This window comes from Homo sapiens, chromosome 6, assembly GCF_000001405.40.
Source record: "Homo sapiens chromosome 6, GRCh38.p14 Primary Assembly".
NCBI lineage: Eukaryota > Metazoa > Chordata > Mammalia > Primates > Hominidae > Homo > Homo sapiens.
Window position 1 is genome coordinate 106,683,748 of NC_000006.12, and position 19,144 is coordinate 106,702,891.

Below are 19,144 nucleotides of genomic sequence, written 5' to 3' on the forward strand. Positions count from 1 at the left end.
AGGAGCCTGACAGTAGGACGGGGGCATCTGGGTTGAGGCACCTACAGAACTGAGGTCCATCCGTCCCCCATTATGGGCTACTATTCCCCTCTTCTTGAAGACAATGCAGACGTTGCTCCCCTGCATAACAACATGTGCCCCCTAGATCCGTCCCAACTTCCTATCCTGGCCACTAGGCCAATCCCTAGGTCTAAGTCACCACATAACTCAGCTGGGGAGGAAAGGGACTAGACACAAAAGGAATTGTAGGACCCGGTCAGCAAGTACAGGCAGGAGCCAGGGGAGAAGACATGGGGCAGGATGTCCGAGGGTGCTGGATCAAGGCAGGCAAAATGTTATTTTGAATAAGAAAGTGTTTATTGAGAGCACCACTCTGGCATACAGGATTCAACACTCTGGCAAGGCCCCAGAAGATGGTGCAAACATGCTGTTAGGAAGCCAGGGAAAAGCAATGGTCCATGCTAAGTGTGACTGAAATGCCAGAATTGCCTTGGCAGATGGATCACAAGGCTCACAGAAGTGGACATGCTAGAACAGAATAGATGTGCCATGTAAGGCATGGATGACTATGCTCCGCGGGAGAGTCCAGAGTCTACACAGTTCGCCAAGGGAATAAGGAACAGCTGGGGAGAGGGCACCAACAGCTCTAAGGATTCAGTGGTAGCTCCTCTCTGCAGGCCAGGATCCCTTGTTAAAAAAAATTACTAAGAATTTTGGCCGGGCGCGGTGGCTCACGCCTGTAATCCCAGCACTTTGGGAGGCTGAGGCGGGCGGATCACAAGGTCAGGAGATCAAGACCATTCTGGCTAACACGGTGAAACCCCTTCTCCACTAAAAATACAAAAAATTAGCCAGGCATGGTGGCGGGCGCCTGTAGTCCCAACTACTCTGGAGGCTGAGGCAGGAGAATGGCGTGAACCCGGGAGGCGGAGCTTGCAGTGAGCCGAGATCGCGCCACTGCACTCCAGCCTGGGCGACAGAGCAAGACTCCATCTCAAAAAAAAAAAAAATTATTAAGAATTTCAAGAGGGTAACAGTCTGTCTTTACAGGACTGGGCTCACTGTGTAGCAATGAGGATGATAGGACAGTTCCCACTTCCCCCTACAAACACCCTCCATAGAGGCCAAGTGGGAGTACTTAACCATCAGTAGCCAGGTGGATGCAATTATTGTAATGACTGGCAGGGTGGAGTGGCAGCCAAGAGGCCTGACCTGCAGAGAGGTATGGAGATGGTTAACGAATATAATGTGCTTAGGGAAAAACACATGAGGAGACAAAAAGAGTACTACATAATCTGTACAAACAAATCAAGGATGGAGGTTCAGGACAGTCATTCCAATGAAAAGTCAGGATGTCTTGCCCAGTTTTCAGAACTGAGCCAGTTTTGGGTCCCAGAACCCATGAATTGAAAGAGATTCTGGGGCCAGGTGCAGTGGCTCACACCTGTAATCTCAACACTTTGGGAGGCCAAGGTGGGTTGATCACCTGAGGTCAGGAATTTGAGACCAGCCTGGCCAACATAGTGAAACCCCATCTCTACTAAAAATACAAAAACTTAACCAAGCGTGGTGGCACACCTATAGTCCCAGCTACTTGGGAGGCCGAGGCAGGAGAATCACTTGAACCTGAGAGGCAGAGGTTGCAGTGAGCCGAGATCACACCTGCACTCCAGCCTGGGTGACAGAGCGAGACTCCATCTCAAAAACAAACAAACAGACAAACAAAAAACAAAAGACAGAAAGAGAGGCTGGGTGCCCAGGAAGGCACAAGTATTCACAGTATTGATTTCCCGATTCTTCCTCAGAGAGGTGAATAACCATTTAATTTGGTAACTTCACACTGGAGAAAGGGGACTATCCAAACATTCTGAGGACCGCTGGACACAGACTCCAGGTTGACAGTAATACCCAGAGACCTGAACCACCATCATGGGACCCTGTTAGAGCGGGTGCCAGGGCCATCCTTGTGGATGTACGACGTGTGCAGCCACACAGGACTTTGCATTTAGAAGGTTCTATGTGTGGTTTAATTATTGGTTTAATGCTCTACTGTTACCCGCTTGAAATTCTTAATAATTTTTTTAACAAGGGGTCCTGTATTTTCAGTTTCTGCTAGGCCCCTTAAAAAATATATATGCAGTTGGTCATGGTGGGGAATATATGAGGGGCCTGGTAATAAATGGAGTTATGGTTCAGGTGTGGCTTACAGTGAATTCATTGGGTCTGCACACTCATCCATAGTCATTTCCTAGTCTCTGAATGTATGTTTGGAATAGACATTCCTGGCAATTAACACAACCCCACACTGCTTCTTTGGCCAGTGGGGTAAGAGCTATCAGGGTGAATACAGCCAAGCGTAAAGCTCTGAAATTGGTACCCTCTTACACACACACACACACACACACACGCAAAATAGTAAAGCAAAAACAATATTGCATCACAGAGGGTCTGGCAGAAATGAGTGCCACCCTTAAAAACATAAAGAATACAGGGGTGGTGAACCCCATCATGTCTCCATTTAATTCACCATTTTGTCACCTGTAAACAAACAAACAAAAACAATTTGAAGGGTAACTGTGGACTAAGAAGTAGCCCTGATTGCAGCTGTTGGGCCAGATGTGATATCTTTGCTAGACCCCATTTAAATTTCACCAACTGTCCAAACAATGCCTCTTTTTCTTTTAAGGTATAGGAATCCCATATGAAAACATACATTGCACTTATGTGTCGGTCCAGAACAATTCTGCAGCGTTTCACCCTCTCTCATATCTTTTTTTTTTTTTTTTTTTTTTTTTGAGACGGCAACACTTGTTGCCCAGGCTGGAGTATGATGGCACGATCTTTGCTCACTGTAACCTTCGCCTCCCGGGTTTAAGCAATTCTCCTGCCTCAGCCTCCCGAGTAGCTGAGATTACAGGCAGGTGCCACCATGCCTGGCTAATTTTTTGTATTTTTAGTAGAGACAGCATTTCTCCATGTTGGTCAGGCTGGTCTCAAACTCCCGACCTCAGGTGATCTGCCCGCCTCAGCCTCCCAAAGTGCTGGGATTACAGGCGTGAGCCACCGTGCCCAGTCCACCCTCTTTCAGTTTAAAAGTATAGGCCTTTCATTTTGTAGGATGATCATCCACCTGGGTGTGTCCAGTGTTTACCCATGGCCAGACTAGAGCCATAGATTCTTGGAAGGAATACTGCAACAGTGATTCTGTGCTCTTTCTTAGCCCATCGCATCAGGAATACAAGGCCAACCCGTCCCACCACTGGTGACATTTCCCTTGATCACTCGTATTTGGAGTCTGCCAGTTTTCTCGACTGTAAAGTCACCAGTCCTCCCTTTGCATTTGGTTGGTTATTTTGTGCAGAAATATTCTGAGATTATGCCAACACCTGTTCCTCACCAAACTTCTACCTACCAGCCTTAGCATCCATTGATGACCTCGTCTCTATCAGCTACCACAGATTGGGCTGCCAAATGGTAATTATCTATTTCCATTATTCCTTCTACAATTATTAGCTGGCATTCTACTGAAAGGAAGTGTTTTCCCTTTCTCTTATTTGTTTATATAATCATGGATTCATGGATTTCTATTGTAATCAAGGTTTACAATTCTATACTCTTATTTATTTTTATGCTCAAATTGTCCTCCCTTTGGCCAGGGGATACCGCTTCAAGCTAGCTTCTATGTTCTGTCTTACCGCCTCATCATTCTTTGCACATTTTTACATTTTCTGACACAAGAGGATATTTCTGTGCCCCCAGTCCAGTGGGGGCCCGCCTTGGTATTTGGAAACCAAGATCTGAGAAGGGAAGCTTCACTTAAAACATTTTTGAACTTTGCATCTGCTCCCCAATATTTCTGTTTTCTCTAAGTTCCTTCTTGTTTCTTTTTTTCTTTTCCATGCTGGAGGCTTTCTTTAAATGCTTGGCCATTCTTGGCTGTCTATTTGCATGGGAGTGAGGCATTGAAAAGCCTGTGATTAGAAGATATGTATGGAGAAGAGAGGGAGAGGTCATTGACTGGTAGATTTTACTTTAGGGTTTTAGAGTGATCTGGCCAGGCCAATTCATTAAATTTGAGTGACAATCGATTTTTTTTCTGTTTATGGCTCGGTCAGTTTTTATCAGAAGAATCTTCCAGTCTCCTCCCTAGAAAATAGGTACCTAGATGCCAGTGTTCGTAGAGCTGAGTTGAGCAAAGAGCTAGGATCCCACACCTGTTTAGTAGATTCCTATATAATGCCCACATTCTGTATGGAACTTTCACCCTCAGCTGTGCCTGGTGTCGTCAACCCTGGAGTCCCCAAGATTCAGCCTCTTTAAAGAATGAATCTTTAAAGCAGAGGACATACAGAGCATTCAACCTAACTCTTTTACAGATTTTTAACCAGTGCTGTTTTCTGCCTGGTGCCTCTAGCTCCTGAGCTTTTTATTTTGGGAGGTTGGGGGTGAGGTGAGTGAGGCATCCTTTGGCCAGAGTAAGCCTGGTTCTAGACTTTTCCTGGGGATACATTTTGATTTTTCTTATTTCCCAAATCAGTGGTTCTCAGCCAGCGGAATTTTACCCTCAGGAACATTTGGCAATAACTGGAGGCATTTTTGGTTGTCACAACTAGGGAGGGGTGCTACTGGCATCTAGTGGGTAGAGACCAGGAATGCTGCTACAGATGCCATCTACAGTGAAACATTCTATGGCTCAAAATGTCAATAATACCAAGGTTGAGAAACCTTGCCCTAAATCATTTAGTGCAAACACTTCCAGCTTCTAGTTTTTTATGCTACTTCATTTTTTTCTTTTGTTCTCTGTTTTTCTGACTTTTAAAATCACATTGCCTTTTAAAATTATTTAATGTCATTTAGGAGTTGTTTCCAGAGGGAGTGATAGTAAACATAATTGTCTAACTGGCACATTTAACCAGAACTCCTGTGGTGGCATGTGAATTCATATTTGCAAAAGTGTTTCAATTCCTGTCTCAAACACCGGCATAGACAAATGTTCAGTGTTAGGAAGAATGTGTTAACCCAGGAGTGAAACAGAAAGCATGTGGAGTCGGCTAGAAAGGGACTTTGTGTCTTATGTAACATACAATTGCTCTGAAGGTAAGCCGTTAATTTTTTAAAATAAAAATGCAGAAATAAAAGCTGCAGGCTACAACAGTACATTCGCAGTCGAAATGTAAAAATACTTTTTTATTTTCACAGGGGCTGAACAGAATTTTTATGAAGGACATTTGGCTCCTGCACGTACATACATTATGGGTTTGTGGGGTTTTTTTTGTTTGTTTTTTTTTTAATTGAGATGGCGTCTCACTGTGTCTCCCAGGCTGGAGTGTAGTGGCACCATCTCGGCTCACTACAAGCTCCGCCTCCCGGATTCACGCCATTCTCCTGCCTCAGCCTCCCGAGTAGCTGGGACTACAGGCGCCCGCCACCACGCCTGGCTAATTTTTTTGTATTTTTAGTAGAGCCGGGGTTTCACCGTGTTAGCCAGGATAGTCTCAATGTCCTGACCTTGTGAATCTCCCACCTCGGCCTCCCAAAGTGCTGGGATTACAGGCGTGAGTCACCGCGCCCGGCCTGGGGTTTTTTTGTTAATTAAATTAAATTAAATTTGTCTGAGACAGGGTCTCACTCTGCCACCCAGGCTGGAGTGCAGTGGTGTGATCTCAGCTCATAGCAGCCTCAACCTCCAGGGCTCAAGTAATCCTCCCACCTCAGCCCCACACCACCCCAAGTAGCTGGGACTACAGGCACATACCACCACGCCTGGATAATTTTCGTATTTTTTGTAGAGATGGGGTTTCACCATGCTGCCCAGGCTAGTCACGAACCATACATTATGTTTAAACTTACCACGCGTGCCTAAGAGTCATTAGCATTTCCCATTGGTTGCTCTGGTCAGTGGTGTTGGCTTAAGCTGAGACTAGATAACATAGGACTTGCTGCATTTACACTGAATCTTAAGACAGGAACCCAGCAGGCCATCACTAAAGAGGTTTGTAAGTAACTAAGTGTAAGAATACAGAATGGGAACTCTTTCGTGTGTACCCAGAGACTCCATTCCCTCCACACCATGGACTCGTCATTCTCTGAAAGCTCCGTGTGCCAACAGTGAACATGCATTGGGCATATTAAGTGTTTTGGTCTTTTATTCTGGCACCTCATTTAAAAGTATAACACTTTCGTGAGGTCCTTGACAAATTAATAAACCCACTTATTTATTTAAATAAAATAAAACTTTTTACAAAGTCTAATTAGAAATTGCTCTGGACTAGAAAACAGCTTTAAAATGATGTCGTTCTTTTTTGTTGTTGTGTTGTTTTTGTTTTTGAGACAGAATTTCGCTTTTGCTGTCCAGGCTGGAGTGCAAATGGCACGATCTTGGCTAACTGCAACCTCCACCGCCGGGGTTCAAGAGATTCTCCTGCCTCAGCCTCCCGAGTAGCTGGGATTTATAGGCGCCTGCCACCACGTTCAGCTAATTTTTCGTATTTTATTTATTTATTTATTTGAGACAGAGTTTCGCTCTTGTTGCCCAAGCTGGAGTGCAATGGCATGATCTCGGCTCACTGCAACTCTGCCTCCCGGGTTCAAATTATTATCCTGACTCAGCCTCCCAAGTAGCTGGGATTACAGGCATGCGCCACCATGCCCGGCTGATTTTTTGTATTTTTAGTACACGGGGTTTCTCCATATTGGTCAAGCTGGTCTTGAACTCCTGACCTCAGGTGATCCGCCAGCCTCGGCCTCCCAAAGTGGTGGGATTACAGGCGTGAGCTACCACGCCCAGCTAAATGATGTAGTTTTATCATTGCTAGTTTTCCAGTGGACTTGGGAAATTAATATATTCCCTATGAAGGAAAATAAATTAAGTAAAAGAATCAATCACTGTGCTAACAAGAATGACTTTTGCATACCTCTGCAAAATAAGCTCAGTGAGTTTTTGTGAAATCAAATGTATGAAATATAAGTTAAAATAAAGTTTTGAGGAGCAGCTTTTTGTTTTTTTTTTTGAGACGGAGTCTTGCTCTGTTGCCCTGGCTGGAGTGCAGTGGCACCATCTCGGCTCACTGCAAGCTCCACCTCCCGAGTTCACACCATTCTCCTGCCTCAGCCTCCCGAATAGCTGGGACTACAGGTATCCTCCACCATACCCGGCTAATTTTTTGTATTTTTAGTAGAGACGGGGGTTTCACTGTGTTAGCCAGGATGGTCTCGATCTCCTGACCTTGTGATCCGCCCTCCTTGGCCTCCCAAAGTGCTGGGATTACAGGCGTGAGACACCGGGCCCAGCTCCGAGGAGCAGTTTTTAAGTGTATTCCCTAAGATTTTTTTTCTTATTTTAACTCAAGCTTTTTCTTATTTTTGGTCAATAAGGGTTTTTATATAGTTAAGAAAATTATCCTTGTTAAAAGCTAAGTCTTTGGTTGAAAATCATACACATACTCTCCCAGTATCTCTGGATGTGTCCTTTTCCATGAAAAACCTCTATGGTTCTCAAAAACACAGTAGAAATACCTATATAAGGAAAACTTGATAAATTTACATATTCAATATTAAAGAATTGCTTCAATTGTGTAAATAGTTCCATTTGCTATTATTTGAAGAGAAAAGTATTTAGGCAGCCTAAAAAGGAAATGTAAGCCTGCATTCATGATGGTGTTTATTATAGATAAAATGCTTCTGAAACTAAATGATTTCAGTAGTCCTTGACGTAAAAGTAAAGGCAAAAACATACGATATCATTTCTTTCTGATGTCATTTCCCATTCTCATAAAGAAAGCAAGTAAACATAATTGCATTTCAAATAAAGTATCTTGGTTGGCTAAGGTTAAATCAGGTTTTAAGCTATCAGGAAATTTCTTCCTTCAGAGAGATTAGAAGACCTACCTGTTTCTCCTGGACGTGAAACATAGAGTTCCAGTAACCATAGCCATACAGAAGATATGTCTCCCAGAGCCACACTAAAGTCATCACTTCCAGTCACTCTCATCTAAGACATTGGTAGTTAAACACATTTTAATCTGTGGCATTGAACAAAGGTGATATTTCTATGCTGTCAAGTGCTAGTAGAGTAAATGAAAGACTAAAATAACAAATTGAAAATGCTCCTATCTTTGAAAAAAACCTTTTTTTATTATTAAGAATATCAACCTCTTTATTAAAAAATTAGAAAATGCAAGTAAATTAAAAGAAGGAGCCTGTAATCCCACCATCCAGAGGAAACATGGTTGATCTGTTTCTATAGTGTATATTCTTCTAGACTACTGAATAATCGTATGCACCTTGAAAAACTTACATAATATAGAAAAAAAATCTTTTGCACAAATAGTATTATATCCAGTCCTTTTAAAATAATCTGGACTTTTAATTCCAGAGGTCCTGACATGATCTCTTTCCTTTGAAAAGCAAAGCCTGCCATCTGGTTTCTGCAGGTCATTAAAGGGTTTTTGCTGGAGTTTATCCTGGCAGGGGACTGCCAGGCAGTTGGGCTTCGGTGGCAAGTCCTGACTCACCAAGTCGGCGGCATCACATGACAACTTGCTCCAGCCTCTCCTTTGTAATGAATTTGGCTTCTACTGCTACACAAAACACCCTTGGAGACTAAAACCTACAAATGTTATGCATTCCTAGACTTGGAGAGAAACTATAGCTACCAAGCCCATTCTTTGTCCTAGATTCAAATGAAAACACTGTAATGTGACCTCCCACGGGTTTTCCTCTATAATAAATTTACAGAACTTCTGAAAAGATTACTAATAATTAATTATTTCCTTGTCCCCTCCCACCCCTTGTCAAATGACTCTGAAATCTAATTTCTTTTCCTTCTGACAAACAGAAAAAGGAAAGCTACGAAAGCTCCCTGTACAATTCCCTCACCTGTTTACAGCCCATTCTTATTTCAACAATCCTAGGAACTGGCAGAAAGAGAGGGTGCAGGGAAGAAAGGGTGTTACTTGTCACCCAGTGCAAGCAAACAAGATGTTGTGAAAGAAATTATGTCCTTCCAAAATTTGTATGTCAAAGGGCCTTTAAAGAGGTAATTAGGTGGCCGGGCACAGTGGCTCACACCTGTAATCCCAGCACTTTGGGAGGCCGAGGTGGGAGGATCACTTGGGCCCAGGAATTCAAGACTAACTTGGACAGCATAGTGAAACCCCACCTCTATTTGTTTTTAATTTTTTAAAAAGAGGTAATTAGGTTGAATGAGGTCATTGGGTGGGGCCCTAATGTAATCTGACTGATTTCCTTGTAAGAAGAGGGAGAGGCACCAGGGGTCCACACCCGAAGAGGGATAACTGTGTGAAGAGGCAGCAGGAGAGCAGCCATGTGCAAGCCAAGGAAAGAGACCTGAGGGGAATCCAACTCTGCTGGCACCTTGATCTTGGATGTCCACCCTCCAGGACCGCAAGAAAATACATTTCTGTTGTTTAAGCCATGCAGTCTTTGGTACTTTGTTCTGGCAGCCTGAGCAGATTAATACACAAGGCAAAAGGACACCTAAAACGTTTCCCTGAAGAACTATCTAGACTGTCCCCTGGATGAATCTCCTCAGTCCAGCAACCTTACAAAGCACACACACACACACACACACACACACACACACACACACACACAAATGTGTCCAAAGAAGTTCAGTAACTACCAAATGATTAAACTTAGAGCTTGACTATTTACAATCAACGCTGTCTTCCCAAAGGTTACATCTTAAAGGCTCTTGTCTGGTGTGTGTGTATTCTTCCTTCTAGCTCTCCAGTCATGCTCTCTTGAGTCATTTCACAGCTCCCTAATTGGTTTTATATTTTTCCAAGTGCCAGTGTTCTGATAAAAGCTGTTTACAGCCTCACCACTTGTGGCAGAGGAGGTGGAGGGAGGTGGAGGGACTGTTGACAGAAGCTGTTTCTAAGAAACTCATCTCTTGTTTCCATTGATACAGTCTGTGATGGAAGAAGAATCCTAAGGGACAAACTTAGGGAACAAAATATAAAATACCAAGCAGGGGAGTGATTCCTTGCAGGGCGATATTCACACATCATTCAACAGCTGTGGATGGAACTCCTCCTCTGTGCCAGGGCGGTAATATGACCTCCCATGGGTTTTCCTCAGTAATAAACCTATGGGACTTCTAAAAAGATTATTAATAATTAAGTAACAGTTTCCTTGCCCCCCTCCTAACCCTTGTCAAATGACTCCAAAATCTAATTTCTTTTCCTTCTGATGAACAGAAAAAGGAAAGCTAATCTTGAAACTCCCTGCACCGTTCTCAAACCTGTTTACAGCTCATTCCTGTTTCAACAGTCCTAGGAACTGGCAGAAAGAGTGGGTGCAGGGGATCTAGCCATGAGAAGTTAGCCATGAATGAGTTAATGGTCCAGTTAAGTGTGATGTTTTAATTAATGAACCCTAAGACTAACGCTGCTTTAAAACAAAACTGCATGCATTAAAAAAAAAAAATCTCACATTCTGAAGGCACCATAGAGATGTTTGGTGATTAGAATGAGGAAAGGAGGAGAGGGGATGGACTCTCTGGAGGGCTAAGAGGCAGGAGTGGAGTGAGGCAGTAGTTCCCTTAGAAGGCAGAGACAAGAGGAGGCAGGGGCTAAGGAAGAGGAAGACTTGACCTTCTCTCAGCTGTAACTGCAGGGCAGGTCGCAGCTCAGCACAAATGCTGGGCTCCTGGCATGGCTTCCTCTGGTAAAAACGTTTTCTGACAATGAGATGTGAGGTTGGACCATGTCCTCTTGGTTAATTAACATGTAGCTGTGATGCCTTCTCTGTGGCGGGCACGCCTTGCTGGTATCAGGCTCCGCCAGCCCTCTAGGGGAGAGAAGTGACTCTTGGAGGCAGGCCTAAGCTCGCTATTTCTCGGCCAGGAGAAAGAAGCACTGGTGCATACATTGCAAGCCCCAGATCAGCAGTCACACTGAATACCACTCCCCTTACCCCTTCACCTACCTCAGATCTTCCCCTATACCCACGCCATACACCCACACCATGGGGCAGAGAGCAGCTCCCCAAACAGCACCCTGGATCAATCAAGCCCAGAGCTGTTTCCTTGGGAAGTGTTCTAGATCTATACCTATGGAAGATAATCAGCCCATAGAAAACTAAGGGTTTTACTGCTTCAGGAGACAGAGAAATAGAGGGAAAGACTATATAGGAAAAGTACTGTACTAGACAGTAAAAGAAAAAAATGAGACCATGGAAATGAACTTCCTATTAGAGGCCTGACCCAGGGCCTTTATGACTCTTGGTATCTGCTCCTGAGCCTCCCAGTTTAAAAAACTGACAGGAGTTCAACAGATAAATTTGACCTAGAGTTGAAAGAAGACATTCAAATTCCCAAAAGACAATGGCTTCCAGGGACACTTGTGGGGGTTTCTGTTACTTCATAGTTTGAACCTTTAAATCTTATAGTACAGGGGATACGATAGAACTCTCTTAGATTCGAATAAACCCTCAGATTCTATTTCTACCCCTCAAAACAACAGCCAGGGCAGTCTTTTTCACAATTCTCATGCTCATCTTGGCTGATCCTGGTGTGTTTTCTTTGCTTTGATTTTCACATGTACCATCTCCTGCAGCTAAGCTTCTGTGTTAACCTCCTGTCATCGTCTCTTTCATGGGCAGCCCAGTAAGCCACACCTCCTGAGACTCATGCGCTTGTACAGTCTTCTCCTCTTGAAGCTGGGCTGGCCCTGTGACTGTTTTGAGCAATGCATACAATGTGGTGAAAATTATTTCTGGGACTCCTGAGTCCAGGCACCAAGATCAGGAAGCTTCTCCTCTTGTATTTAGGGGAAGCTGGCCACATTGTAAGAAGTCGGACTATGCTGAGACTGTCATGATGACAGAAAACCCAAGCTAGCCAGGTGGAGAGATCACACAGAAAGAGATGCCTGGCCAGCTGTTACCTGATATGCCATCATGTAAGTAAAAAGTCCACCTTGGATGGTCCAGCTCATAGATGCCATGTACAGCAGAGGTGAGCCATTCCTGCCAAGCCCTGCCCAATTGCAGAATTGTGAGTAAATAAATAATTACTATTGTTTTAAGCCACTATATTTTGGGATGAGTTGTTACATAGCCATTGAAAACCAAAACACCTCTCTCCACCAAGTCATTTCCATCACTTCCTTCAAGACGGAGGCCAAGTCACCTACATTGGAAACGTACCTGACAAGCTCAATACAGCTCATCTTATTTTAGAATTTGGTAGTTTGGATTATGCAGTTCTATGCCTGCTTTTGGTCAGTTTCATACATTTACCTATCCCTAAAATTAATAATGACAATGGCCAATGCTGAGCATCATGGATCAGGCACTGTGGCTGGGAATAATGTTATTCCTATTTTACAGATGAGGAAACTGCGGCACTGAGCGGTTAAGCACCCTATCCAAAGGTGGTTCTGTATAAGTACCCTTCCCAATGTCCTTGTCCCTCTATTGCTTTGGTGATATGCACTTTGAACTTGAAGTGCTAAAAAGGAAGCTGATGTGGAGACAACAGAATGGCATCTGTTTTGCAGGCAAGAAGATAAAGGAAGGACAGAGGTTAAACTAAGAGATGCAGAAATTATAGTATATCAGCCAGGTGTGGTGGCTCATGCCTGTAAACCCAGCCCTTTGGGAAGCCGATGCGGGCGGATCACGAGGTGAGAAGTTCCAGACCAGCCTGACCAACATGGTGAAACCCTGTCTCTACTAAAAATACAAAAATTAGCCAGGCATGATGGCGCCTGCCTGTAATCCCAGCTACTCAGGCAGCTGAGGTAGGAGAATCGCTTGAACCCAGGAGGTGGAGGTTGCAGTGAGCTGAGATCGCGCCACTGCACTCCAGCCTGGGCGACAGAGCAAGACTACATCTCAAAAAAAGAAAAAGAAAAAAGAAAGAAATTGTAGTACATCAGTGATGAGTACTGGAGCAGTAAGGTCATATGGGCTTGGGGGAATTGACTGGGATGATTTTGTCATTTGTGGGTTTGGGATGAGATTTATATGAAGAGTGGTTCTACTTTGATTGGGATGCATGTGAGATGACCTGCTGCTTTCTATTTAGTTTTTGTAACAAGCTTTCATTTGTACTAACTTGGATGGGTTTCTCTCCATTGCCATGAAAAGATTTCTGGCTAGGGTCGCCTCCAAAAGATCCTGTCTAGATGACCAGAGGAGATGGCCATAAAATAAGACATTATAAAATATGTTTACTGGATATGCAGCTTTCTACCCAGTGAAACATAGATTTCCTGACAGATTTTATGTTAGGAGAGAAATGAAAGACTATGCCAGGAAACATGAAGTTCTTAGGAAATAATTTGGTTATAAACATATTTCCTTAATAGGATACAATTTGATTCTAACTCTCATTACCTTTTGACAAGAATAGTAAGACACTGGTTGTTTAGTCAGTGATTCGTGAAGCTTTCGCAAATGTTCACAGCCCACTGGGGTACACAGAGCAGATGCCAACATCCATCCTCATTTTACTGACGGGACTGAACTAAAGGGCTTGATGACTGCCCGAGATCACATATGTAGTCGGTCAGAAGCTGGTCGGATCTTCAGGTTCCTGGATCAGTGCTCTCCCCAACACTGAGCATTATTCCATGCTGTCTTTTTCACTCATGTGGATGTCAAGGAGATTTCTTTCTGGCTGTACAGGTCTTCAGGTTCCATTAAAGTCTCTCTCTAGTGCTAAGTGTTTTGAAGATAGACATCGTTATTATATCATGGTCAGTTGGGGAGCTCTTCAAAATATAATGCTGATCATGAAAAATATAATGCTCATCATAAAGTCATGTGCTTGCAGATGTTTCCCCTCTATGACCAAAATTTTCAGTGCTCTGAGGGGCATTCCAACTTTGAAACATTTTATGGAACCCACTTCTACCAACTTTATGAAGTTTACTGGAACCTCTATTCTTACCACAAAGGTGGCCATATAATCAAACTTTTTGACCTTCCTAACTGTGGCATAGCATTCAAATGGGACAGCAGGGGAATCTTTATTCACTTCCTGTGGATATTATGAAACATTTTTTTGTAAGCCACAACTACCTTTTGCTCATAAAGTGGCAAGGTCAGTGTATTCTGTATACTGCCATCGCCCCCTCCCCAAACCAAGAAGGCTATTCAATTTTTGTATCATTTTGAAATGTTTCAACTTCATAATCCTAATCTTGTGGTCTTTCATTAGTCTTACCAAAGATGGTTTCAGCCCCGGAACAAGGAGGGGATCAGTTTAAGGAAGGAACTGTTATCATCCTTGCTTCAAAGTTAAATTATAAACTAAATTCTTCCCGTGGTTAGCCTGGCCTGTGCCCACAACTAAGCAAGGATAGCCAGCCTGTGAGTCTAGAAGCAAGATGGAGGTGGCATGCTAGACTTCTCTCATTGTCATTATCTTTGCAAGGGAGGTTTCAACTCCATTTACAACTTTTTTTTTAGCCATAAAGGAAAGCATTACTCCTGGAGCTAAGAGGCTAAAGGGACTGTGCTAGTTCTCTTGTGCTAGTCCTCACCTCTGCACGGTTGGCGTTTGAGGCCAGATAACTCTGTTGCAGGGACTGTCCTGTGCAATGTAGGATGTTAAGCAGCATCTCTGGCCCTACCCAGTAGATGCCAGTAGCACTTCCCACTCCCACCAACACACACACTAGTGTGAAAATGTCCCCTGGGGAGCAAATCACTCCAGGTTGACATCTGCTGTGTTCAATACATGGAGCAAAAGGCCTACAGGGAACTTTCCCCCTACAATCTCCATCTCTTGCAGGGCTTTCATGCAACTCTCTGCCAATGACTGAATCTTGGTTTACTTGCAGTAATTCTATTCATGTAGCATTCCAAAATAAAATGTATTGAGCATTCACCATATGACAGACTTTTTAGTGAGGGCTTATCACACATTGTTTCATTTAATCCTGACAATACCCTGAGAACAATTGTGAATGATCCCCCATTTTACTTTTTATTTTTATTTATTTATTTATTATTATTATTATTTTTTTTTGAGATGGAGTTTCACTCTTGTTGTGCAGGCTGGAGTGCAGTGGCGCGATCTTGGCTCTCCACCTCCCAGGTTCAAGTGATTTTCCTGCCTCAGCCTCCCGAGTAGCTGGGATTACAGGCATGCGCCACCACGCCTGGCTAATTTTTTCTATTTTTAGTAGAGACGGGGTTTCACTGTGTTGGTTAGGCTGGTCTCAAACTCCCAACCTCAGGTGATTCACTGGGCTCGGCCTCCAAAAGTGCTGGGATTACAGGTGTGAACCACTGCGCCCAGCCTATTTATTTATTTTTGAGACAAAATCTCGCTCTGTTGCCCAGGCTAGAGTGCAATGGCATGATCTCAGCTCACTGCAGCCTCTGCCTCCCGGGTCCAAGCAATTCTCCTGCCTCAGCCTCCCAAGTAGCTGGGATTACAGGTGTGTGCCACCATGCCCGGCTAATTTTTGTATTTTTAGTAGAGACAGGGTTTCACCATGTTGGCCAGGCTGGTCTCGAACTCCTGACCTCAGGTGATCCACACGCGTCGGCCTCCCAAAGTGCTGGGATACAAGCATGAGCCACCGTGCCTGGCCGACCTCCCATTTTAAAAGGAGGAAACGGGCTTGGCAAGGTGAGGTGACTTGCCCTTGATCACCTACAGAGTTGTTGGCACAGCTAGGAATGTAGAGGTGGTGTCCAGAGCCACCCCTTTGACCACAGAATGCCACTGTCCCTTTTCTGCAGACAGTGAAATGGTTAAGTTAGGATTCATAACAATCGGGAAAAAAAAAAAAAAAAAACAGACTTAGTGGGTTTAATGGTTTCTAAAAACTCTTTAAGTCTGTGTAAGTCTGTCTCCTTTCATTGCAATGTTTTTTATAAACACCAGGGGAGCAATAATCATTTGAGCAGTTAAATGGATTTAGGATGGTAAAAATCTATATTTTTTTAGTCTTGAAATTATATCAAATCATTTGCCATTCTCACTGGACTATGGCCCTCCAGCCCCTGCAGCTACCCCTCTTCTCTCCCGCTGCTCCTCAAGCCCCATTACCTACACTTATAGTTTTCTTTTAATTTTCCAAACAAGATTGCATTTTGTATTTCAGATATTAATCCAAGGAACAATACTGACGAATTTCACGGACAAAATACTAAGAAGGAAATCAAGTGAATCAAGCGGAGAAGAAAGACAGTGGAAAAAGAAAACTGAAAATAAAAATATTTTCTAGACCCCTTGAAATAAAGTTTGAAAAACCACAGTGCTTTGCAAAATATCACATTCAATTGCTAGCTAAAAAAAAAATTCATTGGAAGTGCCATTGGGACAGCAGAGGATGAGGAGGTCTGGTAAGGTCTCTGGCTGGTCTTGTAAACCATACCCCAGGGTTGGGGCCAGGGTTTTTAGGCTCAGGCCTCTCTGATATGGTAGGAAGGTATGAAGAGAATCTTTTCATCTATTTTTTAACCATTAATCTTTCTCAATGCAGCAGGAGACCATGGGGGTCCTGGGTCTGGGGGTCTGCTTTTCTTCCGAAGCTCAGCCAGGCTCAGTATCAAGGAGCTGACATCAAGACACTAATTGTGAGGGAAAGGAGAGAACATCTTTAGATAAGCCTACCTGCCCTGTGATTGCCTGTGATGGGGTTCAGGACACACTGGCCCCAAATATGGCACCTTGGCATGGGAGAAAATGGCAGAAGCAGGAAGGTCTCTCTCACCTTCCCCTCGCCCTTCTCCCTTGAATGTTGATGAAGATATGAAATAAGGTTTGCCAAATTACCTGCTGTATTTATGACCTCCCTTGAAGCAGGTCATAAAGCCATCATTCCAGAGATGCCCTCCCCATACCCAGACCAAAGAAGGCTCCTTATTTCTGAAGACACAGGGACACAAAGAGGAATCTGAACAAACAGGCCTTACTAAGTTTTCCCCAGTTAATTCCTATTGGACATGCCCTTTTTCCATTCATACTTCTCCACAAGCATTCACTTCTTCAATGACTTACACAAAAAATATACACAGGTTTAGTCCTTTCTTTGGGTCTTCATTCCTGAAGGCTGCTGTGCCACAGAAAATGTTAATGCTTTTCTCTTGTTAATCTGTCTTTTGTTATAAATGCCTCAGCCATTAATCCAAGATGGAAAAGAAAAATATTCCTTTTTCCTGCTCCTAAGAGCCACCTAATGTGTTGCAGACCAAACCCACAGCAATCCTGTTATCTGGGAGTTCATCTGTGATCTTGATTAGAACTAACATAGGAAATAGATAGATGTGAGTTGCTTCCAGAATAAGATTAGAATATGAAATCACATTTAAAATTTAAAAGCAACATGTTAGCAACGACTCTAACCACAGTTCTCCCTTCTTTTTCAAAACCAGGGGTCTGGTCCAGATCTTGTATTGCCTGAAGAAGGTCCTAGGTACTACCTTTCCTGAAAGAAAGACATGGTACTAAAGCTCCTCCAACCCACCTTTGCTCTTCTCTTACCTCATAAAATAGCGAGCATCAAATTATTTGAGGAAAAGCATTTAAGAATTTTTTTTTTAGGGACAAGTTCTTGCTCTATCGCCCAGATTGGAGTGCAGTGGTGTGATCTCAGCTCACTGCAGCCTCAAACTCCTGGGCTCACGCAATCCTGCCACCTCAGCCTCTTGAATAGCTGGGACTGCAGGCATGCACCACCATGATTGGCCAATGTTTAAATTTTTTTGTAGAGACAAAGTCTCCCTATGTTTCCCAGGCTGGTTTCAAGCTCCTGGGCTCAAGTGATCCTCCCACTTCAGCCTCCCAAAGTGCTAGGATTACAGGCATGAGCCACCATGCCTGGCTGGGTATAAGAATGTCAATATGCTTAGGTTTAGATACAGTTTAGTGTTTTTCAAATGACAGATTGCAATCCCTTAAAGGTTAATAAAATCAATTTGGTAGGTTGCAAACAGCACTTTAAAAACAAAACAAATAAACAAACAAACACACTAGTATCTGATGGTAGATCTTGTCTTGTCTAAAGCCCTGCAGCGTGAGGCATATCCAGAAAAGGTCAACCCTGAGTCCCATCTGGAGGGGCATCCTCTCTAGGTCACCATTTGTCACAGTCAGTTTTAGGGCTTGAGGAAATTTAATTTCCATTTCAGAAACTCACTAATCTAGTTGTGACCAAACTTTTTCCTACCAATCTAACCAAGTTTGCTTATAAACAATCACACTGAGACCACAGCCTTCTTCCCCAACGTAGGTGCAGATGAAATAAAGAAGTTTAGAGCAGTTTTTTCTAACGTGGGCTCTGTAATAAAAACCTGCTACAGTCAAATATTTGAGAAACCCTCCGTACTGTTATCTTCTCTTATAGATTCCTAGCCTATAAAAGAAGAGACCCATTTAACTTTGTTTAACCCGTTATGTCCTAAACTTTTTTGATTGTGGAGTAACCTCTCTTAACAATTCCACTACCCTAGCCTGAGCCCTTAGCCTGATAGCTACTCCCTTTTGGGCTGACTGCAGCTGCCTGCCTCTTAGCTTTGTGACTACTGTCACACAACATACGGTCTTTACTCAGCAGCCCATACTAGGTCCTCACCAATTTCTTGATGGAGTACGAAGTAAGGTTTGCCATATTACCTACTCTACAATTTGGGGACTTTAACCATTGTAAGCCCAATCATCACTCTCACTTCTTAGCTTTTATTTAAAGAGTAAGTTTGTATTCTAAATTGATTTCTACAACTGCTGTTTATGGAATTAAGATGAATCCAGTGGTGGTCAGCTGATCACTGTGGGTGAAGTCTGTTGGTTGCTTTTTACAGTATTTTATGTTCCTTCTTCTCTTGCTTCCTGTGTGCTGTGCTGTGAAGCATGACAGAGCACCTGCCTGTGTGTGCACAGCACCGTGAACTCAATCTTTCAGTCACTTTCTTTTCTTTTCATGTTTAAATAAGAGATAAGCCACGTTGGCCAGGGCATGTGGACTCTCCATGGAGTTCACTAACAAACCGAATTTATGTATCGTTGCAAAATAGTCAACACTCCAGTCTGTTAGAAACAGGTGCCAAGAGAGGAAATGTTTAATATTTTCCACGTGGCATGGGCTCTGTCAGACAGTGTTTCCAACCAGAGTCTGTTTTCGCAGTTAAATCATAGGTTCAGAGTCTTCCTTTT

The 19,144-nt window shown here is 43.4% G+C and overlaps 1 long non-coding RNA gene across 1 annotated transcript; it reads left to right on the forward strand.

The window, feature by feature from the left end:
• Positions 1-11,737: 11,737 nt before the first annotated feature.
• On the forward strand, positions 11,738-16,247 carry LINC02526 (long intergenic non-protein coding RNA 2526). The gene is made up of 3 exons (NR_149100.1): positions 11,738-11,927; positions 12,528-12,653; positions 16,095-16,247. It is a non-coding gene; the product is annotated as a long intergenic non-protein coding RNA 2526 (long non-coding RNA).
• Positions 16,248-19,144: the final 2,897 nt, after the last annotated feature.